We start from the raw sequence: 25269 nt of genomic DNA, 5'->3' as shown, positions 1-25269 counted from the left end.
TATATGTAGGCATTTTTAATCATTTGAGAGTAAGCTGGAGATATCAGCCCCTTTATCCCTAAATATTTCAATGTTTATTTCCTTAAAAACACAAACATTCTTTTATATGTCACAGTTCCATTATCAAAATCTGGATATTTAACACTGACATAATACAATATGATTATGTAATCTACATTGCATATTCAAATGGTAACATTTGTCCCAGTACTGGGCACAGAGCTATTCTGCTCTCCCAAACCAGTATCCAGTCCAGGATCATGCACTGTGCTGTGTTGGCTTATCTCTTTAACCTCCTTTAATTTGGAACAGTTTCTCAGCCTTTTTTCTTAACCTTGACTTTTCTGAAGAGGACATATCAGTTATTTTGTAGAATATTCCTCAATTTGGGTTTGTCTAAAGCTTCTTGATGTAAGGTGAAAACTGCCATATTTCTCCACTGTAAGGGTAGTATTTTCACCTTCGTAACTAATAAGTAATATTTTGCAAGATCCTTTGAGACAATGTAAATGTTCTTTTCTTCCCTAAATTTTCACTTTTCAGTTTTAGCACCCATTGATAATTTTCTAACTCCAACATTCCTTCTGCTGTAAGGAAGAGCTTGTTCTTTACCCGTATTTATTTATTTATTCATTGACTGACAATATCAATATGGATCAATGGATTTTCATTTTGTCAAATGAGTTTAATTTATTACTATTCAATTATAAAATTATAATAGATTTGGCCTGTGACAGCCACTTCAGGCTAGCTCCAATATGGTTTTAACATATCCTCGTTACTGGACAAGCACTTCCTGACTTTCCAGCACAAACAAGATGTTCTAGGCTCATTGTTGACTTCTGCCCCAGCCCTGGAATCAGCCTTTTCTCCAAAGAACGCTGATTTCTTTTAATGGAAGGTGGTATTTAGAAACCAGGATCTGGGCATTAGATAGAACCATTGCCGCCGATGTGGCATGGCTTTTAGGTCTTTTCAGGTGACAATGGCTAGGAAATATATATAATATATCATGTATTTTATTATACTGATGTTCAGACTGATACCCCTAATCTCAATTCAACAACACAGAGTACATTCTACTCATCCTTCTTGCTGTGTTTGTAACTCCAACAATGGGAAATCTGGCTCCCATTATCCTCAATATTTTTACTCTTTTGCTAACCATTACTACTTCAACAAGCAAACTTCATAATAAGTTTAATGTTTGCTTACAGTTCTTCTTCATATACAATCTTCAGAAGTGAAATGCACAGATTTTAACTGCAGTTTGATGAGTAGTGGTAAATGAAATCACCCATCTAACCACACAGCTATCAAGATATAAAGCATTTCCATGATCCCAGAAAGTTCTTTTGTCAACCACCTTCCCACCAGCAGCCATTTCTTATATTTTATTTTTTTCACCATAGATTTTTGTCTGTTTTCCTGTTCTTGGCCTCATATAAATGGGATCATAAAGTATCTACTCCCTTTTGTTTTGCCTCTTGCTCAGCATGTCTGAGACATTGATCCATGCTGTTGTGTGTTCTAACAGTTCTTTCCTTTGTATTGTTCAGTAGTATACCATTGTATGACTATACCACATTGATCTATCTATTCTTCTATTCATAGACATTGGTTTCCAGTTATTGTCTATTATGAATAAAGTTGCTATAAACATTCTTGTAAAGTCTTTTTGTGGACATATGTTTCACTTCATTAATCTTCCAAAATAACCAATTTTTGATTTTGTTAGTTGTCTCTATTATTTTTCTATTTTGTATGTGATTGATTTCTTCTCTTATCCCTAGCATTTCTTTCTTTATATTTACTGTGGGTTTAATTGCTCTTCTTCTTCTAGTTTCATAAAGTAGAAACTTGGGTTTTATATGGCCTCCCAACGGGCTGGGATTACAGGCATGAGCCACCGCACCCGAATGACTGAATATTTTTTAGCATTCCATTTTATCGCCTCTACTGGCTACTTAGCTTTACCTCTTCGCATTTTTTGTTTAGCAGTTGTTCTAGGGATTGTATATGCATCCTTAACTTATTACTTAGAGCTAATATTGCCTGAAATATAAGAGCATATTGCAACAGTATAATTCCATTTGTCCACTCCCAGCCTTTGTGCTATTGTTACATACATATTATATCTCAATACATTATAAACCCCAAAGAGAGTACTCTAATTTTTGCTTTAAACACTCATATATTTTAAAGAAATGGAAGGAAGAAAAAATACTTTCATCCCACTGAACTCTCTATTTCAACTATTATATTTTTTCTACCCTGTATTTCCATTTGGCTCCTATTCATAATTTATATCTGCTTCTTGTTTCCAACATCCTTTATTAGAATTTTGAAAATACTTATTACATTTATTTATATTCCTGTTCTTCCCAGACCCTTAACTCTGCTTCCTCTGGTATATGTTGTTCAGTTTTTGGCCTTTCTTTACTGATGTTTGTGTTCCTCAGAATTCTCTTTTTTTTTTTTTTTCTTCTGAAATCCTATCAGCTACCATTACTGTTCGTATATACCTTGGAGGAGAGTCAAATGCCTAGATTGTATAGACTCCAAGTGAGTTGGGAAAGGGGCACGCTTCTAAGCACTTCAGGATGATGTTGCATTCTGCTATAATTCCTAGGTATGTAGTAATGCCCAGAACCTCCACTCAGGCACTGCTCTTTTCAGAGGCTGTCTTTCTCTGTGGTAATCTCTAAGCCCAAAGCATCAGCAGGACATTGCTATCATATTGCATATTGCTCTTATATTTCATGCAATATTAGCTCTAAGTGATAAGTTAAGGATGCATATGCAATCCCTAGAACAATTGCTAAAAAAAAAATGGAAAGAGGTAAGTAACCAGTAGAGGAGGTAAAATGGAATGTTAAAAAGGTTTTGGTAAGGGAATCCTCAGAGTGGCCTGTCCAGCAAATCTCTATTGACTATCCTGGTCAGGATCTAGGATCTTATTCTGTTGCCTTTGAGAGGCATAACTATTTTCCTGTCCTATAGGGTCAATGTGGTGGGCAGTGATCCATCCAGATAAATATGAAGGAAAGAAAGAAACCAACTGGCAAGCACTTTCCAGGCATAACTCCAGTATGTTAGTCAAGGTTCTCCAGAGAAACAAAACCAACAGGAGACTAATTGGCTCACAGGATTATGGGGGCTGGCCAAGAAGTCTCAAGGTCAGTAGTCAGCAACTTGAAGACCCAGGAGAGCCGAAGTGTCATTCCAATCTGAGTCCAAACACCTAAGAAACAGGAGAGCTGATGGCGTAAATTCCAGTCCAAAAGGTGGCAGGCTCAAAGCCCAGGAAGAGCTGATGTTTTAGTTCAAATCCAAAGGTAGAAAAAGACCGATGTTCCTGCTCAAATAGTCCGGCAGAAGAATTTTCCTCTTTCTCAGTCTTCAGTTCTAGCCAAGCCTTCAACTGATTAGATGAGGCCCACCCATATTAGGAAAGGCAATCTGCATTACTCAGTCTACCAATTCAAATGCCAACCTTATCCAGAAACAACCTCACAGACAAACCCAGGATAATGTTTGATCAAATGTCAGGGCATCCTTGGTCCAGTCAAGCTGACATAAAATTACTCATCACACCCAAAGTGTCTGTGACATTTTGCCCTCCCCCAGTCTCACCCTTACCATGTCTCCCACCCTCACCATGAAAATCTCTACAGCTTTTCTCTTCATTTTCAGGATCTGGCAACTTCCTCTCACTTCAAGATTGGGCTTTGGGAGGAAGCCAATATCCTGTGCTAGCTCACCACCTTTTTTGAAACTGGAAGCTTTCAAAGCATTTAATTTCTACCTGACATAGGAAACTCCTAATTGTAAGATTACTCTAAGACATTTCTTTAAAAGGTACAGAAGACTCATTAGCAGTTTTCCAACTTCTCTAACCTGAAAGAAGTATGAGAGGAAAGCACCGACTTGTTATTAATCAAGCTGTGTCTGCCTGGTTTTCTGTGGATGTGTTTTGTTTTTAATAAATGACTGCTGATAGTTGAAATTCAATATACTAGCCATAAAAGAAATGTGACAGGTCATGGGCCAAAAGAAGTTAACTGTAGGAAGTGGAAATTTTGAATAAGACAATGAGATTCAGTGAGTGATAAATATAGTGTATCATGTGAGCTTTTAGTCCCAGAAGAAAATAATTTTATAGACTTAAAGTTATTGATGGTGCCAGATTTCCCTTCCCCTGAGGGAGCATTTCCTAGCCTTTCATCCAAACCTTCCCTTACTCCACACCCTGCACTCCTTTTCCTAATGGGTTTCTGAAGTCCCAGTTAGAGAATGCTGCAGGGTGAACGGAGAGGCGCTGTGTGTCAGCCTAAAAAACAAATCCAGAGAAATCTGCCAAGCATCAAAGTGCTGTTAAAACCTGGATCTGGTCTCTGGTGTGGTCTGTTTGTGTTTTATGTTGCATTTCAAGATGTTTGGAGCAGCCCCTTGGTTCTTGAAGAAGAGGGAAGTAGATGAGATTTCAACTGCACTATTACTCATTCCTTTGTCCTGTGGAGAGCAGAGTTATGGCTACTGTTGCAGAAGGAGGCATGATTATGTTTACTCATATATTTCTTTGTGTTTTTCTTCCTACCAGGCCAGGTGGTCTCAGAAGAGGCAACTGGTTGCCAGGAAGCACAGTCTATGAGACCCAGAAGTAACTCTGGAGATCCTCCAATTACCTCTCACTTTACAGTGAAGGAAACTGAGGCCCAGATGGAGTCAGTAGGTTACTTGAGATCTCACAGTTGCAGAAGTGGACTAAAAGCCAGGTGATCTGATTCCTAAACCAATGGATTTTCCATTACACTGAGAATTCACACATGAAGTGAAGTCCTTTAAGACTTTACTTTAAGACTTTCCTTTAAGTCCTTTAAGACTTTCACCTGTTACATAAGAGTATGTTATTCATCTTGATTTTTTTTTTTTAGATGGAGTTTTGCTCTCGTTGCCCAGGCTGGAATGTAAATAGTGTGATCTCGACATACTGCAACCTCTGCCTCCCAGGTTCAAGCGATTCTCCTGCCTCAGCCTCCCGAGTAGCTGGGATTACAGGCACCTGCCACCACGCCTGGCTAACTTTTTTGTATTTTTAGTAGAGATGGGGTTTCACCACATTGGCCAGGCTGGTCTAAACTCTTAACCTCAGGTGATACACCCACCTCAGCCTCCCAAAGTGCTGGGATTACAGGCATGAGCCACCACGCCCGGGCTTTGATTTTTTTTTTTTTTTTAATGAATTAATGGCCTTGGCTTTCAGAGGTAATGCTTTTATTCCTATTTATTTCTACAGTTTGCTCCTTTAAATTACTCCTTTCTTGGTGGTGGGGAAGTTACTGGGTAGAAATAAGATAGCCTAATTTGAAACAATTAGCCTTAGCTTTTATTTTTTGATGCAAGGGTTTATAAAGCCTAAGTTGAGGAAAAGCTAGAGATGGGGCACAGAGACCTGCCCTTGCTTTCCCAACCCTGAACGACACACAGTCAGTGGGTTGTTCACTCAGTTGTCAGCCTATGTGCTTTCCTAGAGCTGCTGTGATGTGTCAAGTTGTGTACAATGCTGGGCATATGAAACTAGAGTATATGATTTCATTCTTCAGGCAGCTGAGAAGACACAACCCAATGAATCAATTTCTTGCCAGCATGTTACATGCCATAATGGAAGTATACACAGGTGCTGTGGAAGCAAAAAAGAGACACCTAGCCCAGGAGACATTGATTATATCACACTCATTCTCATTTACACATGTGTTGGGTCTTAGTTATCTATTTTACCAGCATTCTACATAATACCAGCTCATGGTAGTTGACAAATAATTGTTAAATGAAAGAATGCATAGCTAAGCATTACTGATTTTGTAAATATAGTCTAGAATGGGAAAGGACCCAGTACTTTGCTTACACCCACAGGTAACCAACCAGCAACCACAGGCCTGAATCTGATGCACCGTCTTCTGCTCGTGCCATGGTTTTTGTTTTTGTTTTTTCTTAATTGAGTCATCTTTACTTAAAAATGCTAATTTCCAGCTTCACTTGTAAGATCAGAATATCTGAAAACACTTTACACTTATTCCAAAATGACTCCAACTGGTTGGAGCTAAGTAGAACTTAGAGCCTATGATGATTAATTTTATGTGTTGATTTGACTGGGCTAAGGGGTGCCCAGATAGCTGGGAAAACAATATCTCTGGGTGTGCCTGTGAGGGCGTTTCTGGAACAGGTGTTAATCAGTAGACTGAGTAAAGAAGATCCACCCTCACCAATGTGAATAGGCATCATCCAGCCCATTGAGGGCTCAAATAAAACAAAAGGCAGAGGAAGGGTGAATTCTGTCTTCCGGAGCTGGGACATCTTCCCTTAGATATCAGAGCTCCTGGTTCTCAAGCCTTTGGACTTTGGGACTTACACCATCAGTTCTCCTTGATCTTATGCCTTTGGATTCAGACTTAATTACGTCACTGGCTTTGCTGTTTCTCCAGCTTGCAGACAGGAGGTGGTGGGTCTTCTAGGACTCCACAATTGCATGAGCCAACTCCCATAATAAATCTCTTTACATATCTATCCAATGGGTTCCATTTCTCTGGAGAATGCTGACTAACACAGATCCCCTTCGATCAAGCACGAGCCCTGAGTTGGCCATGGTCCTACCTGTCATAATGAGAGAACTCTTCTCATTTGTGTTATGGGTCCTGGAGGCATTTGATTATTGGTCTGGTCATTCACAGGAAACCCATGTAGAAACAGCAAGCATACCTAGGAAAACTAGGAGAGAATTCCCAGAGTTCTAAGGGCTTATAGAAGTGCAGTGTCAATGAATGCAGGATTGAACCAAGCTGGAGAGAGGGAGGCTGGCCTGCAGAAGAAGATATCCTTTACTGGTACCTGAATTGGCTCCTGCCAAGTTTATCTCTGCTGATGAGGAAGCTTTGCCTCTAGTTTCTCTCCTGAGAAGGGAGAGTTTCAATCAACCTTGGCTTTTCATAAAGGACTTGGGGCTGCTGGCTGAATAGCCTGTGTGTTGGGGTTCACCCATGGGGATTTTCAAGGAGGCCTGAATCTTCTGATCCATCCAATCTCTCATTTTACACTTGAAGAAACTGAGGCTGAGAAAGGGGAAGTGACTTGGCCAAGGCCACACAGCAAGGTCAAGATCCAAGACTAAAACCAATTGCTTCTCTGTTTTGCTTATTACTACAGCACAGAAATAAAGAAATAGAGAATGGGAGAGGAGAGGTAGGTGTGGGGAGGCGATATGAAAACATGGAACAAGTGCTCTGCTTTTAGAATAACTAGAACTTTGAGCCCAGAAGATTTCTTTTCTTTTAATAAATAAATGTTTTATAATCTTACTTCTGTGGCTGGTGGGAAAAAAAGTCCTTCAAGTCCCCAAGGAATGTTAGGAAAACCTCCATTAAATTCTAGTCTTCAAATCTGAGTCATAATAACTATAATAAACTCTGGGAGTGTTTCCTTAGAGTTTCTCTTTTAGGGTGGAGAGGAGGCAGCAAAAAGAATAGGCAAGTTTTCACAAGAAAAACTTGTAAATAGGCAAGTATAACAAGAAAATGTATAAACCGGGATGGCTTCATAATTAGGCATAGCCTAATTGTGCTTATGTGTCTAGTCAAGAAACTCTATCTAGAGTTCCAGGGGAAGAAGGTGTTGGGGATGAGGGAGTAGGATTGGTTTGAGGGTAGTAGACTATATAAGGCATCATGCTCCTTCCCATGGAGGGGATGTATGATGGTTAATATTAGGTGTCAACTTGATTAGATTGAAGGATGCAAACTATTGTTCCTGGATGTGTCTGTGAGGGTGTTGCCAAAGATATTAACTTTTGAGTCAGTGGACTGGGAGAGGCAGACCCACCCTCAATCTGGGCGGGCACCATCTAATCAGCTGCCAGCACAGCCAGAATAAAAGCACACAGAGGAACATGGAAGGAGTAGACTTGCTGAGTCTTCCAGCCTTCATCATTCTCTCGTGCTGGATACTTCCTGCCCTCGAACAACAGACTCCAAGTTCTTCAGCTTTTGGACTCTTGGATTTACACCAGCAGTTTGCCGGGGGCTCTGGGGCCTTCAGAAGGCTGCACTGTCAGCTTCCCTACTTTTGAGGTTTGGGGACTCGGACTGGCTTCCCTGCTCTTCGGCTTGCAGACAGCCTATTGTGGGACTTCACCTTGTGCTCATGCAAGTCAATACTACTTAATAAGCTCCCCCTCATTTATACATCTATCCTGTTAGTTCTGTCCCTCTAGAGAAACCTGACTAATATAGCATGTGTATGTGCTTTTCCCTTTGCTTGGAATGCTTGTCCCCACTCTGACCCTAAGCACCACCACAACCTTCCTTCCTGGAGCTCAGGCTGTTATCCTCCAGGGCTCTGCTGATTCCCTGGGCACCCCGCACTCTGCTTCACAGCACTCATCACATTTGTCACTTGTGTAATTTGTTGCTTATCCCAGGCTTCCGTATTACATGATAAGCTCCATTAATGACAGTGTTGTCTGCCTTGGTTTTGTTCATGATGAGCACAGTGCCTGGCCCACAGTACCAGCTCACTAAGTATTTAGCAAAGGGCTTTATGAGGTCATCCCTGGCTCCAGCACCTCACAATCTTTATGGTGACTGTTCAGAGGGCAGCTAAGCAGAAAAGAAGTTTTCAACAAGGCTGTTTCTGGCCTGTTTTCCCTCTCAGTACTACATGGCAAGTCACGTCTCCAAACTGAGGAGTGTGCCTGAAGAGTCAGGTCTGGCAGAGAAAGGATTTCTTGCCCTAGGTTTAAACAAGCAATGTCAACATAACTTCCAAAGGCATCGGCTGCTTGGAAGAAGTGAATCCCTTGGGTCATTCCCTTGATTATTGTGAACCCGTGGCTGAGCAGGACAGAAATGTCACACAGGTGGACTGAGAACAAAATGATTTCAGATATGGGAGCCCCAAAGTGGCATCCCAAGGACAAGTGCTCAGAATTGCATGACTTGGTTTTCTGTTGAGCTATTCTGTCTTGGATAATTACAGCATGAGCTCTTGGCCAGTGGTGGGAATTAATTGGTTTTAATTCTCCCGCAAAGATTCTCTTAAGTAAAAGTAAAACATTTGCAAACTGGAGTTCTTTGAGTTATTGGTAACAACTTACTTTGCACCTCATAGCACACTGGTTAATAGCCTCCGCCAAATAACTAATATTTAGGCACTTTGCTAATGTATGCAAAGTGCTTTTAAGTATTATGCTATTAAATCTTCACAACATCACAGGTAGGTATTAGCACCATCTTACCTATTTTATGGATATCCAAACAGAGGTCTTCAAAAGTTAGAAAATCTGCACAGTCACAGAGCCAGTGGAGCCACAGCTGAGGCATGGACAGGCTGCTCTCCTACCACCTGCCAGGCCGCTCTTGCCCAGCTCATGAGGTCCAAAGTTTTCTCAACAAACTGCTTGGTGTCGATGTTGTAACCTGGAGCATTGCCCTGCAGCAGAAAGGCAGGCCTGGACATTCGCATGTCAGCATGGGGCGAAGCTGATAATTTCCAGTTGGGATCCAAGAAAAAGAAAAGCTCTCCACATGCCAACAACATTGTTATGAAGCTCTCTTGACCCAGCTACCCAACAGTGATCTCAAACATTTGGTCTCTCCAGTGTGTGTATGGGGGTGGGGGGCAGCTGGGCGTGTAGCCTTGTACACTTTGCACTTGGAGAGGTAGGGACAGGGGTCTAAATTAAGGGAAACCCTGCCCAGGGGCTGGCTTTGGGAAGCATGCCCAGCAGCCATGTGGAAGTTCACTGCATTACGGTGAATTACACCAGGTGGGGTGAGTACAGGACAAGGAAGTAGAAGTCAGAGCCTGCTTTTCAAAATCACCCTGCAGGCTGTTGTCCCCAGAAGAAGAGATCAACCTCAGGGGAGACCAGAGTCCTAAACACAAAACAAAAGAGTAATAAGGGAGGAAGCAAATGAAGTTGCTTATCTCATTTATTTATTTTTCTCTCCCATTTCCGCCTATGCTCCTCCAACTGAACCCCCCCTAGTCTCTGGTTTCCTGGCCACTATCTGGCCAATAACCTCCACATTAGCATCCCCAGCCCCTCTGTGCCCCCTGTAATCTCTTCTCCAGGCTTTGCTGAGGACTGTATTTACTGCCACACAGGATTTCCGTAGGTGATAACAGCAGGGCCTGGTTGGCTTGACCCTCTGTTCAGAGCCAACCCTTGGCTTCTTATGGTGTCCTCTTACAGCAAGGGAAGAATCTTAGTTTCTCCCAAGAATGTGACTCTCTTTAAGTGTCTTACCTACACTCAACAACTAAGCAAGCCTCTTGATGAGCAGCCCTTCACTCTCACATCCTCAACACTGTGGACTGAGAATTTACATTTTTTTAAAAAGGCAGGGCACAGTGGCTCATGCCTGTAATCCCAGCACTTTGGGAGGCTGAGATGGGAGAATCGTTTGAGGCCACAAGTTTGAGACCAGCCTGGCCAACACAGGGAGACTCCATCTCTACAAAAAAATTTTTAAAAATTAGCCAGGCATGTGCTACTTGGGAGGCTGAGGCGGGAGGATTGCTTGAGCCCAGGAGATCGAGGCTACAGTGAGCTGTGATCACACCACTGCACTGCAGCAGCGTGGGTGACAGAGCAGGACCCTGTCTCTAAAAAAAAGTAAAAGATAAATGTAAAATCAGGTCTGTTCTGCTCTGTATGTGTATGGGTGCCCCACATGGAGAGCCAAGAGACATAAGAGGTGCTGAGGGGAATTTTCCAAGGCGGGTCACCCACTTACAAATCTCTAATCTGGGGACTGGATTGTGGGACGGACCTGCAGAACCCACCCCTCCAGGACTCTGACAGGCATCGTCAATCCAGGTCCCCACAGGAAGGGGACCCTTGATGGCCATTCTCATAGAACATGTCCCCACCCTACCACATTCGCTCACCACAGGCTGCTAGCTTTTCACTCAGAAACATATGTGCCTTACAGGGTGATGTGTTCTGTTTTTTAACTTCCTACTAATGTGTAATGCACATTCAGACAAGTACACAAGTCGCAAGCTCAATACATTTTCACAAAGTGGACAGACTTGGGTCATCAGCACCAGATCAATAACAGAGTATTTCCCATGGCCAGAATCTCTTGTCTGCACCTGGCCCCATCACCGCCCACCTCCTTCCCACCCAGTGTAACCACTGTCCCGACTTTGAGCACCACACATCAGGCTTGCCTCCCAGGGGTCACTCTTTAGAAGCTGATTCCAGAGATGCACAGAAGACTTTACTTTTTCTTCATCAGCAATGCCTGAGGCTGGGGAGGCTTGTGGAGCCTGATCTGGGTGTTCTGTGTTACTTTTAACTGTCAAGATCCCTAACACCTTAACACCACGTAAACCAGAGGAATCATAGGGACAGGATTATCTCAGAGAGAAACACAGCGGTGGGCAGCCGGCCAAGTGTGGAGGAAAGTGAGATGAGATCAACAAGAAGGCATTGTCAAGAGTCAGGAGCTGCAAGAGGTCGGGGCCCCCAGGGACAGACTGCAAAGAAGGCAGGAAACTTAAATATATGCTCATACTTTTACCAAAAGGAGAGAGAAAAGAATTCCAACCCCTTCCTGCAGTCTTCATCCCATCATTGTATCTTTCAATTTCTTCCCCATTCTAGAGACACTATTGTAAGCAAAGCCACACCCTCTACCTCTTTAAACACCCATTGCACAATAGAAATATAATGTGAGACACACATAATTTTTTATTGCAGTAAAAGATACATAACATTTACTATTAGTGGCATGTAGTGCATTCACAATATTGTGTAACTGACACCACTATCTAGTTCCAGAACATTTTAATCATCACAAAGGAAACCTCGTACCAATTACACAATCATTTTCCATCCTCAAAACCATGGTTAGATGCTACAAAGAAGGTGGCAATGCCGAAGTTATATGAGTGTTGTACAGGCCTCTTCCATCCTTGTCAAGGGGAATGCTAACCTTCTCTTCTTTATACAACACTCACATATGTAATTTAAAATTTTTTAGTAACCACATTAAGAGGTGAAAAGAGACAGATGAAATTAATTCTAATGCTTTCTTTAACCTAATATTATATAAGCTATTATCATTTCACATGTAATCATTATACAAAAATTACGAAAATAGCTTACATTTTCACTTGTACTGAGTTTTTGAAATTGGGTGTGTATTTTACATACACAGCGCATCTTAATTTCTACTGGCCACGTGTCAAGCACTCGATGACCACACGTGGTTAATGGCTACCATGTCAGACAGTGCAGCTCTAAACAATTCATAAGATGCTATCAACATCCTAAATCATCTTTTTAAAAAGTGATTCTTACATATGCAGAGATTCTAGGCTATGATTTTGATATAAATTTTATGAATTTTAATTAACGACATTTTAAATGGAAAAATTAATTTTAACATAGGCTGGGCACAGTGGTTCAAAACTGTAATCCCACAGCATTTTGGGAGGCCAAGACACGTGGATCACTTGAGCCCAGGAGTTCAAGAACAGCCTGCGCAACATAAAAAACCTCATCTCCACAAAAAATACAAAATTTAGCCAGGCAGAGCTGGGTCCCAGCTACTCATGAGGCTGAGGTGGGAGGATGGCTTGAGTCCTGGAGGCGGAGGTTGCAGTGAACTGAGATTGCACCATAGCACTCCAGCCTGGGTGACAGAGCGAGACTCTGTCTCAGAAAAGAAATTTAATATAAATTTACTTTCTTAATTATAAAAAATAAAATATTTGGAAGCTACAGAAAGAAAAAGTAGCTGTAAGTCCTAAAACAAGGGCAAGGGTAATCACTTTTTAGCACCAGGTGTGTTTAGGACTTCTTTGTGGTTCTTTGCTCATCATATAGCAAATGAAAACTAAATGCCAACACAGCCACTCACCCAGAGACAAACATGCAGACGTCCAAAGGGTCATGACTGTCAGCACACAAAGCCAGGCAGGGTGACCCCTGAGGACAGCGGCAGATTTGTCCCATGGCCTGACAACCCTCCTATTTCATCAGCAATTTTCTAGCAAACCAGGAGCTTGCACCAGCCAAATCTAGAAATCTGGACTCAGCCCAGCATCATGGGAAGCTGCCCTGGCAGTTTTAGGGGATGCAGTTGGTCCCTTCCACGAGGGCCCTGTGGAAGATACACCTAGAACGGTCACACCTTTGCGCCTCTGCAACCATGTGCCTGAGTGTCCCAACTCCGCCACCACCGGAGCTCCCTCCCTTGTGCTGCCTTATGCTTATGGGGGTGTCCATGAAGACTCCTTTTATCAGGAAGTCTTTAAAAGAAGGGGAAATGTCCCTTTTGTTGAGGACTCAGGCGGGAAGAGGAGTGAAAGCAATGGCTGAATTCCCTCCCATTTCAAAACTCCTTCCAACCTTCCAACCTCCAGATCTTTCCAGCATTCTCTCTCCCACACATTTGGACCTAAGCTTAAAAATATGACCTGGGTAATGAGGAGGTGAGTTAACTAGTTTGTATCCAAGAGCCTTTCCAACCCAAACATTCCAGGGTGTTAGGATGCCATTCATTCCTCCACCTGACACACATACAGACACACACACACACACAGAAATCCACACGCTCTGCCTGAGTCTCCAGTTCCACCCCATAGAGAAGCACACAAAGAAATGAGAATAGGTCTCCTCAGCCCTGCTAACTCACAGGAAATACAGATGGCTAAAAAGAAGCACTGTTATTTAGCATCCATGCTCAGAAAGAAGGAAATCTAGCAGAAACCAGAGCTGGTATCCAAGAATGCAAAAACATTTTTGGGGGGATGCTTCATGCCACAATGCCCCAAGTTGGAAAAAAATGTGCCATTTCATATGTTTATAACAACATCTGATTTAATATTATACAGTTTTGCTTAGTCACAAACCAGAACAAATACTGTCAGATTTATTACATCCTTCTATTCTGAGACTTAAGTAATCATAGTTAGCAATGGAGCCATTCCACAGCTTAAGGGAAAGCTTTACAATTCTTTGGGACCTATGATTCCTGAGAGGCAGGTTATTTCAAGAATTTAAGGTTTTAAAGCTCTCAGTGGAGCTTGAAATTCATCCCTTACATTTCACATGAAAAGAGTTTCCTCTGAAGCTTGGCTAGGAGGGAGGAAGAGAGGAAAACAAGTTGACACAGACTCTCACTGAGCTCTTAGAGAATGGGGCCATCGTTCATCAACATTCCCAATCTTTACCTTGCCTTTCTTTAAAAAGAAAGAAAGGAAAGGAAGAGAGGAAGAGAGAAAGAAAGAAGAAAGAGAGAGAGACAGAGAGAGAGAAAGAGAAAAAGAAAGAAAGAGAAAGAAAAAGAAAGAAAATACCATTGGCACTCATGCTTTTAAAATCGTTAATGCTGTATTTGGGACCCCCTTATCTGTTGATTCACTAAAAGAAACTGGTTGGTTGTTATAAGGAAATTAAATTTTCTTACAAAACATGCTTTCTCATTTACTCCCCCACACATGCATGCACACACGGTCATTTGTTACATGATATGTGGACAATCGTTAAGCCCCAAGCATTGCCTCTGCTTGGCTGACAAATTCAGGATTCGTTAATGATGTGGTCATTGACTTTGTTGCGTGGAGGCTCAGGTTGTGGGTTTGGTGCCTTCAGAGCTTCACTCCCTTTCAGGGCATACACGATCCTCTGCTGCATCCAAAAGTGGGGCTGTGGTCCCCTGAGGGCTGGGGGAGGTGTGTTTGGATCAGTGTGACCCCATCACTCAAAATGAGCACATCCATGCTTAACCATGAAGTAGTCTAATGGGTTCCATTTTTCTCAGAAAGCCAGAATTTGTTCCTCCAGTATTTCTTTACATACCACTAAGAAGAATGTCAACATTAATGTGGGGTGAGTAGGAGTGATGGAAACTTGGTCTACAGAAAATCAAGTAAAAGTTTTGAAGAGCTTGGAGTCTTTATAAAAATGAGAATTTCTAGGTTCCATTGCAGAACTACTAAATCAGGATATCTGAGAATCTGACACAGGAATCTACCCATGGTTCACAGGTGATACAAATACACACACCAGTCTTAAAGGTCCTTTCAGTAAGTCATAAGCAATTGTTTTAAAACAAGATTGTAGGATCAAACCAGTTTCCGGATGAAGGTACTACCACACTTTGAATTCATTCTTGCCAACTTATTTTGTAGCATTGCCAGAAGGCACAAGCCTTGAGTTCTAACTCTAGCCCATCACCTATAATGTGGACAAGTTAGTTAACCTCCCCAAAGCTCAGTGACATGCGTTATGCATTCAGAAGAAGAATGATGATACGTAAGCAGCTTACAAAAGACTTTCACATCTATCCTACCTCACTGGGTCATCAGCAAGATCTAATCATATAGAGTGGATGAAGGTGCACTGCAGGTTTCATGGCACTTTACAAATGCAAGGTACACTGGGTTTTGTTTGCAGGTTTTAGTTTTGTTTTGTTTTGTTTTGAGATCAAAATATCTGCTTTTTTTCTGATAGAAATTCCATTGCTTTTGTATTCCTAAACTACATCCTCCAGCCTAGGTTTTATCAATAATACTGAATCCCAATATTGAATTTATCTCCCCAGCCTTGCACAAAACTGGAGAACTACAGGTATCTCCCAACTAGGGAAGGGTCTTTTCTGCCAAAATCACCACTTGGACCAAAGGGACCAGGGTCCTAGCACCTTGAAGGCAGCAAGAGCCCAAGTAGAAAAGAGAAGGAGAAAGAGCAGAGCTCAAACTCACTGCTTCCAAATTTACCAATCAGATCTCCCCCAAACAAGAGAGTGTGAGGAGGCAGAGAGGGGCCAAGACTAAGGAATGTCTCTTCATTTGGACATACGAGGGATGAGTGTGATTATAACACATTTATTGTAGCTAAGTTATCTGTATCCCCAAATTCCTCAATTTTTTGTTCTTTGAGCCCATTGTGCTTACACATTATACCCAGTCATATATAGGTATATATATTATAGGGATAGCATCTTCAGAGAGGGAATAAACTCCTACCCCCATCTCCAGTGTCACTTCCATGTAGATCTTTCTAGAAAGGTACTGTGTGTTTTTGCCCCATAAGGTTCTGAGATGGGCCAGTACAGTACATTGTGTTCTTCAAGGCCTTTCTGTAGTCAAGATAAAAATTGTCGATCCTTTTCTATTTTCCATCTCAAATTATGTCCAGACATCACACTGCCCAACAGAACCTATCAGAGACTGTGCAGCAAAATCAAGTGATATCACAAAGGTACCTCAACAATAAAATGACAATAAGATGCTCTAGATTTGAACATAAACCCCTCTAACACCAAATTACCAAGGAGTCTGAAGTCCAAAATTAAATTCCAAGTTAAGGGCCAAAAAAGGCAAAATGAGAAATTAAAATCTGAAGTTAAATCATCTCACTCTCAAGTTCAAAAACATTACATTGCAATTTCTTATTCTTTTTGGTGTCAGCAAGAAGAGTTCTGAATGGGCTGCGTGGGATCGGTGTTCTTTCAGCAGCAGTAGCCTAGGATGCCTTTCCAGGAAGGGACTTTAGAGTTGGGATTAACGCAACTCCAAGTCTCTGAAGTGTTGTACCATTTTAAGTTATTTTTTAATTGTGGTAAAATATATGTAACATAAAATGTACCACCATAACCTCCTTTTTTATTCTTTTAAAGACAGGGCCTCACTCTACCACCCAGGCTGGAGTGCAGTGGTGTGATCATAGCTCGCTGTAACTGTGAACTCCTTGGCTCAAGCTATCCACCCACCTCAACCTTCCAAGTAGCTAGGGCTAAAGGCATGCGCCACCATGCCTGGCTAATACTTTCATTTTTTGTAGACATAGGGTCTCACTATGTTGCCCAGGCTGGTCTTGAACTCCTGGCCTCAAGTGATCCTCTTGCCTTGGCCACCATAACCATTTTTTTTTAAGTGTACAGTTCAGGAGTATTAAGCACGTTCACTTTGTTTTGCAACCAATCTCTGGAATTCTTTTCATCTTGCAAAACTGAAACACTATACCCATGAAACAACTACTCCTCATTCTCCATTCCCCCATCCACTGGCAACTAGCATTCTACTTTCTGTTTCTATTTTATGTCTAGAACAGTGTGACTGCTCTAAGTACCTTATATTAATGGAATCATATAGTATTTGTCCTTATATGACTGGCTTATTTCACTTAGCATAATGTCCTCAGGGTTCATCCATGTTATAGCATGTGTCAGAATTTCTTTCCTTTTCAAGGCTGAATAATATTCCATTGTATGTATAGGCTACATTTTGTTTATCCATTCATCTGTCAGTGGACATGGGCTATTTCCATTTTTTTTTCTTTTACTATTGTAAATAACGCTGCTATGAAAATGGGTGCGTGTACCTCACTTTTTAAATTGCTCAAGAAGTTCAAACAACACAGGAGATGATCACAGCACAAATTTAGAAAATAATCCAGTCCCCAGTCCCAGAAAATTTATCCAGGCAAAACTCATTCCTAAAGCCCAATACTTGGTGTTGCCAAAAACGACAGCAGATTCAGAAGGGAAAATCGCTTTAGAAGATTCTTCAAAGGGAAAAAGGGTAAATGGTTTTAAATGAAGTGCTCTTCATTCATTGCCAGGTGACCATAATCCTTGGAGAGGCTAATTATGGCACCATTTTTGTTTGTTTGTTTGTTTTTTGTTGTTTTTTTTTTACCATATCTGGGGGAAATGAACTCATTCCTGTAAAGAGTCTGCTCTGACAGTAGCATTTGAGACATTACTGCTTTAAATGCATTTTCATGGTTCAAAATAATAGCACTATTAAAAAATGTTTCTTCAACAAGGATTTGTTTTCTCCCTAAGAAGCTTAATGTGGACACTACAAATAATGACCAAAGCTGCTGAGTATGGCATAACAAAGAGAAAACAAAGCACTCATCCTGTCCTCCAGATCATGCCCAGAACACTGTCTACCAACATGTGGCTTGCCAACTGGAATGATGCAAATGTCAGACCCACATCTGTGGAAAAGGGGCTCGTCCCACAGGAAACAAGCTATTGGGGAATGGGGAGAATGATATAATTAGAAATTTAAGACACAGTATAACTCAGAAAAATGTTGGCTGGGCAGCACATTGCTAAGACTTGAAATCTTTATTTTGTTCTCTTTTCAAAAGCCCTGTGAGCATAATGAGCAGAATATAGCTTTAAGAACTAAGATTCACCCCATCAGGCATTAATGGTGTCCAGAAACTATGTGAACAATCTTACTTGACATCCCCAAGACATTTATATCTGTCCAATGCAAAATCAGAGGGGGGAACATGTTAATTTTCTCAGCCTTTTGATAGCATATATACAAGATCTCTTAGCCCCACAAAAGCTCCAGATATATTCTCTAGGACTTCGACTGCCTTAAAATATAGACTTGCATTTATCTTGGCCACATTAACGAGATCTGTTTGACCAATACATTTATATTTATGATGACTGAGGGCAGATTATGGTTGTTAAAATTTGTCCTTGGGACATGAAAACACTCTTCTGTCATTAATACATTTTATAATATAAACTATGATGTCAGGTCAACATAAAGGGTAAAAACGTTCCTAAAGTATGCACACATCATTTTTTAAAGCAATTGAGCCTAATGGAATAACAAAGGTCATCATAACAAACCATTACAGCCTTGGTCTTGGCAACTCTGGCCACAGAAGAACCTCCAAGAAACGATCATCATTCCTCCAATGTTATGGCATCCAGACGACAGGAATGGCTCGCAAATGAGTCATACGGGCTCAGATCCGCGGTAGCTATGTGAGCGCTGGACGATCAATTATTCATGTGTTTACAAAGAGCTTTCCCGGTTGATGTTAACCAGAGCTGCCTGCAACGAAGAGCTCTCCAGCTGTCCTCGGCCGTCCTGGGCCTCGGACTAACAAGCGGCTTTAATTGCTGGGCAGGTCATGTGGAAGGTGCTCCTCCCTTCAACCCAGTAAATTCAATCTCTCTGAGACTTTGTTAGGTGTAAAAATGTTAATCAGAAATAATTATAACAACAATAGTTTATTTACAGTACTCCCAGTAAATTCTAAAGAGGGAGACAAAAGTTAGACTTAACTTAGTTCCCACAGGGATCCACCAGGATTGGAGACTGACCAATACCAGGTCAGGGATTGGTAGAGGGCATAACAAATGCCAGGGAAGGGGAGGGACTAGGGGTTGTGGGTTTCACAAGGAAGGTAAGAGGAAGAGCAGTCTAGGATGCTCTGTAAAGGTAAAGGAGCATGACTGAGGACCAGCAAGGGTGAATGCACTAGACTGGCCAACAAATAACCAAATGTGAGTGAATTTGACCTGCCTATCAAAAATGGCCTTGGAAGAGGCTGAATGGGAAGTCACTTCTCAGTCCTTTTTGTTACTTTACACAACCTACAGCCTGTCCAGGAAGAATAATAATGTAATTAAGGCAACTCTTCTCTCTGAGCCAGGCCACAGAGCATGGGAGCAGGTGCCCCACCACCCAATTCCTCAGCTGTGTTTGGAGGAAGAGCAGAGTTATAGTCAGAGCTGTGGCCCAAGCCTCTTCCTGTGAAGAGAGTGTGGTCAGAGCAGACCAAGGGATGCCTCAGGGACTTTTTTACTATCCCAATTCCAAGAACATCTGTGGTACCGAGCCAGATTCTTCCTCTTGCTTGAAATTGGGTAACTTTAGATATCATCATAACTCATTCATCCATTCAGAGAAAGTGGTTGAAGCAAACAATCTCTGTTCTTGCAGACAGCAAAGCACAGTAGTGCTTTGTGCAGACATAGATAGAGTCAGGGCCATAGGACTTCTGAGGTAATTCTGCTTTGTAGGGTGGAAGGCAACACTAGTTGAGAGGACTTGCAACAGAAAGGAAAAGCTAGGGCCGGGCGTGGTGGCTCACAACTGTAATCCCAGCACTTTGGGAGGCCGAGGCGGGCAGATCACGAGATCAAGAGTTCGAGACCATCCTGAACAACATGGTGAAACCCCGTCTCTACTAAAAATACAAAAATTAGCTGGGTGTGGTGGTGTGCACCTGTAGTCCCAGTGAGAGGTGAAGCCAGCTGGACTTCCTGGGTCTAGTGGGGACTTGGAGAACTTTTCTTTCTAGCTAGAGGATTATAAATGCACCAGTCAGTGTTCTGTGTCTAGCTAAAGGATTGTAAATGCACCAATCAGCACTGTAAAAACTCACCAATCGGCACTCTGTGTCTAGCTAAAGGATTGTAAATGCACCAATCAGCACTCTGTAAAATGGACCAATCAGCACTCTGTAAAATGGAGCAATCAGCAGGACATGGGCAGGGACAAATAAGGGAATAAAAGGTGGCCACCCCAGCCAGCAGCAGCAGCCCATTTGGGTCCCCTTCCGAAGCTTTGTTCTTTCGCTCTCCACAATAAATCTTGCTACTGCTCACTTTGGGTCCGTGCCACCTTTAAGAGCTGTAACACTCACTGCGAAGGTCTGTGGCTTCATTCTTGAAGTCAGCGAGACCAAGAACCCACCAGAAGGAACCAACTCCAGACACACCAGCTACTCGGGAGGCTGAGGCAGAAGAATTGCTTGAACCTGGGAGGCAGAGGCTGCAGTGAGCTGAGATCTCACCACTGCACTCCAGCCTGGCAACAGAGTGAGACACTGTCTCAAAAAAAAGAAGAAAAAAAAAAAAGAAAGGAGAAGCTAGCAGAAGAGAAACAGGGCACCCCTCCCTGGTGCATGAAGCATCCTGGAGCACTTTCATCACAGGTGGTTTTGTAACTTACATCACAGGTATTGCTGTAAGGGCAAGGTTAGAGAGAGTTTGGTTTCCCTTCCCTCACCCTGATCCACCCTATCCATCCAAAAATGCATGTTTGGAAAATGATCCCGAAGAAAGAGAGTGCTTCTCCCTAAGGCCCACAACAGGAGAGCTGGTCTAAGACACTTCTCCACACCTCCTTTAACCTATCAAGTCCCAGTTCCATCCTTTTACTCCAGCAAGAGGGGCAAGGGAGAGGACAAGGGGAAGTGTCCCAAGATAGGTCTCCTTCACTTGGCGGGAACTTTTAACTTCTTCAGTCTTCCCATGAGTGCACCCCTCCTGCTAACTGGGATTCCTTGGCTCACTGGCATTCTGCCTAGAGATCAGAGGATCATTTCTCAAAAGACAGTCAAAAACAGACCTTTGGGAAGGGCAGCATTAAACACAGATGTCTTCATGAAGGCCTCTCCAGAGCCTTTTGCCTTTGAAGAGAAGTGAGGCACGCAGGACTTTCCAAACTTACTGGTCCATGGAATTGTTTTTAGAAGCATCCCGAAAGGCAAACTTTCAGAATTCCATGGACCAATAAAACACGGGAAATGCAGTGTTAGGGTGTGGTAGCAACACTCCGATTATACCCACAATCAAGGTCTGGTCTGAGAGCCACTCTGTCATTTTCAAGGAACTTTAATGTATCTGTTCTCCACCATCATGGGTTGCTTTAATTTGATACACTCTTGGAATGCTGGGAGCACTTGCCTGGAATTTCAGCCTGCCATCACTGTTGGTGACAGCCTCATAAATGGTTTCCCGAAGTCCCATTTGGCTAGTCTAATTTACCCAACCTCCCCATGCACTCTTACCAAACTGGCAGACCCTCACAAGCTCATCTCCTCACCATGCCCCGTTATCAGTAAAGGGAGAAGGAGAGGAGGAGTATTTCTCCCTATAGGACAACGGCCTGAATTCCAACAGCCTCCCCTTCCCCAATTTCTTTCTGCCTTCGTGTGTATAAGTTGCTGCCCTCGTCTTTCGGTTGGAAGTTTCTAACATTTTCTGCAGGAGAGTCACAAAAGCAAGCCTTTAGGCAGCCCCTCCGGAGCCTGGCCCACATTGTCCTTTTCAAGACCTCCAGCTCTGAGTTTGTGACTCCCCACTGTGGCTGCAGCATAAGTTGCCACACAGAGGAGATGCCCACCGAGGGTGGATATTTTGGCCTGATCTCAAACATCTGTCATTTGCTGTTGTAAGATCTGAAAGTCTGGGATGGCCTACATTCCTGATTCTATATTTCAAGTGGAATAGTGTGCAAATGCTCAGTATCCAAAATAAATGGGATATCAGCTTTGTCTCTGGCATTAACCAACTCATTAAATATAAAATAAACACAAGTAAATGGCCTTTAAATCTCACTGACAGAAAGCTTGGCAACTACTCTGAGATTCTAGAGGTCACTGGAACTTCTCTCTTCAAACAGGAATCTTCCTCACACTGTGAGGCACAGAAGGACAGGTCTGCCCAGTGAGGAGGGTTTCTGGGTGCTCCCTTCCACGTGGGTGCTGCCCTGCAGAGCTAGCTACCCCGAGAGCCTGTCCATGGAGAATGATGGTTACTGCCCGGACGGGGCACAGAGAAGTGGCTGTTAGTTCTTACAAGTGGTTAGAAATTCAGGACTAAGGCTTTCACTTGCCACTAATTATAAATACCTAGGAAGAGCCACCAAACCTTGGGTTTCTGATTGCTCCCTACCTATTGGCTATTCCCAGAGAGCCCATATTCACATGGTTTCCTAAATCCTGTGTACACTCACTCTCCCACGGGTCCCCCGGTCCCATTAGTAATGCTACTTGCTGAACACTTCGCTTTGTCTCAATCTATCTGTAGTTTCAACATCAACTGGACTTGTTGGGGAAGGTGATGGCCCAGGTTCTCTGGAAAATTGATGTAATTATTCACCTCATGCCAAGCATGCAGAAAACAAACTGTAATAATTCACCAACCATAAAACAAGCACATGCACCTCTTTGCTCAGAACTTTACTTCAGGGCTCAGCTAGATTTCAGCGATTACTGACCTCTTTTATAAAATCAAAGTGAAAAATGTGCAGCTTTTGGTAAAAAGCATGTTGACTTGATAGTCCTTCAAACATGGGTGCTTGCCTGGGAGGCTGTGGGTGAGGAGGTCCATTATGCAGAAGACCCAGCTGTGGTCAGGTGTCAGAATTACTGGCTTTGCCCATTCACCTCAGTCAGCTTTCTTTTTTTTTCCTGTTTCTTTTTTAGAGATAGGGTCTCACTCTATCACTCAGGCTGGAGTGTAGTGGTGCAATCATAACTCACTGCAGCCTCAATCTCCCGCTCCTGGGCTCAACCAATCCTTCTACCTCATCCTCCCGAGTAGCCATAGCCAGGACTGCAGGCACACACCACCACACCGAGTGCATTTTAAAAACATTTTGTAGCGACAGGATCCCATTATATTTTCTGGGCTGGTCTCAAACTCCTGGGCTCAAGCCATTCTCCCACCTTGGCCTCCCAAAGTGCTGGAATTACAGGCATGAGCCCCTGTGCCCAGCCTCAGTCAGCTTTCACAGTCTAACTTTGTGCCAAGAAGTTAGTAAGATCTGAAACTAGTCAAAGTAGCTTCCATTTATTCACAGTTTTAAAAACATTTTTCAAGTTTAGTCAACTTCCCAATATAATCAAAGGACAAAATGGCAATAAAAAATATACTTCATCAGATCTTAGAGTTATACAATCAGTTAAAAAATAGATATTGGGTTTTAAACAACTGACATATGCTTTCCTTTTCCCCCTTTAAAGGTTTTCAGTAGTCTATCTGAAATCACTGAATCACTTTTCTTCTCCTCCACAGAATTCAGAACTTTTTCACCCGGAACTGGAGAAGGAGCACTCCGTCATTAGCTGAGGGGAATGGCAAGGATCCAGGGGTCCTCCATGACTACACAACCATCCTCCTGAGCACCTTTAGGAAATCCAATGCTGTCTGAGAAGCAGCAGGGCCAGATCCAGATCTATGGAAAATTAATATCTGCAGTGCTTCCTGAAGGTCACCTCAGTCTTTATGCCATTTCAAAAGCTAGCCCGGGGCTTGAGAAGAAAAGGGAAGTGGCATTCCAGCCATATTTGGGGTGCAATTTAATTTTCATTGCGTACCTCATGAACAGGGGCAATAACACATTCTAGGATATTCTTCCAGCCCACCCACTCTTCCTCTTTCTCTTCTTCTCTTTCTCTAACGAGTGGTAGTGACAGGATGCAAGTCTGCGCTCTTGGTAGATAAACGGAGAAGCAGGAGAAAGAACTATTCCATAATCAGTTAAACGGGGAGTTTTCAGAATCCTGTCTTGTCATTTAAGTGACTTACTGAAGTCCTACTAAGTTATTGAGACTATATTTCTTTACTTTTTGCACTGGGACATTGAAGCATTGAGACACCAGAAGTCCAAAAGACGAAAAATGTGAAAATCACAAATTTAAAGAAAATGTAGAGGTCTCAGTTCTGAAACACCATGCTTCAAGTGTTGTCATTTTTGAGAACATTTTTAAAAGGCATCTAATATTCCAGGACATACGGTTCCCATTACTGGCCCAGCAGGTACACAGGGTCTCCCACTTTGATGGTCCCTGGGTTTTCCAGCACAAAATACTGCCCAAAGAGTGGTGATTTTCCATATAACTTTCGTTCTGAAGGGTCACACTGGCGATAACTGCAATAGGAAAAGATCATGATGAGTCACAGCCAAGCGGATGCAAGAGCTCAACCAGCACGTGGCTTCCATCCCACACAGGGCCTCCGCACGCACAGCTCGAGAGGGCACCATCCCGTCAAAGCTCAACAGAACAGCGCCTCCTGGAGTGGGGCAGTGAACAGCCTGCCCAGCAAACAACGACAGAAGCATAAGCAATGGCCACATCCCCACATCTTTTCTCTACCTTCATGTTCCCCCTTTCGGCATTAAGACGTTAGATACTTGGCCAGGTGTGGTGGCTCATGCCTGTAATCCCAGCACTTTGGGAGGCCGAGGCTGGCAGATCACAACCAGGATGGAGATCAAGACCATCCTGACTAACACGGTGAAACCTCATCTCTACTAAAAATACAAAAAATTAGCCAGGAGTGGTGGCAGGTGCCTGTAGTCCCAGCTACTCGGGAGGCTGAGGTGGGAGAATGGCATCAACTTGGGAGGCGGAGCTTGCAGTGAGCGGAGATTGTGCCACTGCGCTCCAGCCTGGGCAATGGAGCAAGACTCCGTCTCAAAAAAAAAAAAAATTAGATACTCAATGTGTCTAGACATACTTTATCATCTTCCTTTGCCCTAGGCATCTTTCCTCCTGTCTCCTCCATGTCTGTCACCTGAACCACCATCCTAGCCGTCACTTGGGCTGGGAGCCCATCCTTTACACCACTGTCCTCTCTTCCCACAGCCTGTCCGCAGCTGCCGAGTTCCAAGGTTCTTCCTGTACAACATCAT

General features: G+C 42.8%; 1 protein-coding gene, 2 long non-coding RNA genes and 2 pseudogenes across 8 annotated transcripts in view, besides 2 other annotated features; 1 reads left to right on the top strand and 4 right to left on the bottom strand.

Moving 5' to 3' along the window:
* The window catches only part of HLX-AS1 (HLX antisense RNA 1), a 47378-nt gene extending 42345 nt beyond the window's left edge, over nucleotides 1–5033 (top strand). The window contains exons 2-3 of the long non-coding RNA NR_046901.1: nucleotides 4604–4778; nucleotides 4938–5033. This is a non-coding gene — a long non-coding RNA (HLX antisense RNA 1). The remainder of the gene's footprint in view (nucleotides 1–4603; nucleotides 4779–4937) is intronic.
* Nucleotides 5034–5366: 333 nt separating this feature from the next.
* Nucleotides 5367–8541, bottom strand: LINC01352 (long intergenic non-protein coding RNA 1352). The gene is made up of 4 exons (NR_110797.1): nucleotides 8354–8541; nucleotides 6889–7103; nucleotides 6413–6654; nucleotides 5367–5683 (listed from the first exon to the last, which is right to left on the bottom strand). It is a non-coding gene; the product is annotated as a long intergenic non-protein coding RNA 1352 (long non-coding RNA).
* A 3191-nt stretch (nucleotides 8542–11732) lies between these two features.
* RNU6ATAC35P (RNA, U6atac small nuclear 35, pseudogene) lies at nucleotides 11733–13525 on the bottom strand (annotated as a pseudogene). Its single transcript, NR_157260.1, has one exon. The product of NR_157260.1 is annotated as an RNA, U6atac small nuclear 35, pseudogene (transcript).
* LOC124900455 (uncharacterized) lies at nucleotides 11903–12020 on the bottom strand (annotated as a pseudogene).
* Nucleotides 13526–18136: 4611 nt separating the features above from the next.
* MTARC1 (mitochondrial amidoxime reducing component 1) overlaps nucleotides 18137–25269 on the bottom strand; it is a 32747-nt gene continuing 25614 nt past the window's right edge. For all 5 annotated transcript variants that reach the window (XM_011509900.4, NM_022746.4, XM_011509904.4 and 2 more), the window contains exon 7: nucleotides 18137–24504. In XM_011509900.4, coding sequence (XP_011508202.1) covers nucleotides 24378–24504 — 127 coding nt within the window. In that variant the 3' untranslated portion in view covers nucleotides 18137–24377. The remainder of the gene's footprint in view (nucleotides 24505–25269) is intronic.
* Nucleotides 18576–19267: an enhancer, noted in NCBI's record as "NANOG-H3K27ac hESC enhancer chr1:220991871-220992562 (GRCh37/hg19 assembly coordinates)". NCBI's record gives its function as "activates a minimal SCP1, AML or CMV promoter by ChIP-STARR-seq in naive H9 embryonic stem cells {active_cell/tissue: H9 hESC(naive)}" and the evidence as "EXISTENCE:reporter gene assay evidence [ECO:0000049][PMID:30033119]".
* Nucleotides 23880–25079: an enhancer, noted in NCBI's record as "BRD4-independent group 4 enhancer chr1:220986059-220987258 (GRCh37/hg19 assembly coordinates)". NCBI's record gives its function as "activates an origin of replication core promoter dependent on BRD2, P300/CBP, MED14 and CDK7 cofactors, and independent of BRD4, by STARR-seq in HCT116 cells {active_cell/tissue: HCT116}" and the evidence as "EXISTENCE:reporter gene assay evidence [ECO:0000049][PMID:35650434]".

Source organism: Homo sapiens, chromosome 1 (genome assembly GCF_000001405.40).
Source record: "Homo sapiens chromosome 1, GRCh38.p14 Primary Assembly".
Taxonomy (NCBI): Eukaryota; Metazoa; Chordata; class Mammalia; order Primates; family Hominidae; genus Homo; species Homo sapiens.
Note: the sequence above shows the minus strand (reverse complement) of the source record. Positions and strands in the feature narration are given on the sequence as shown.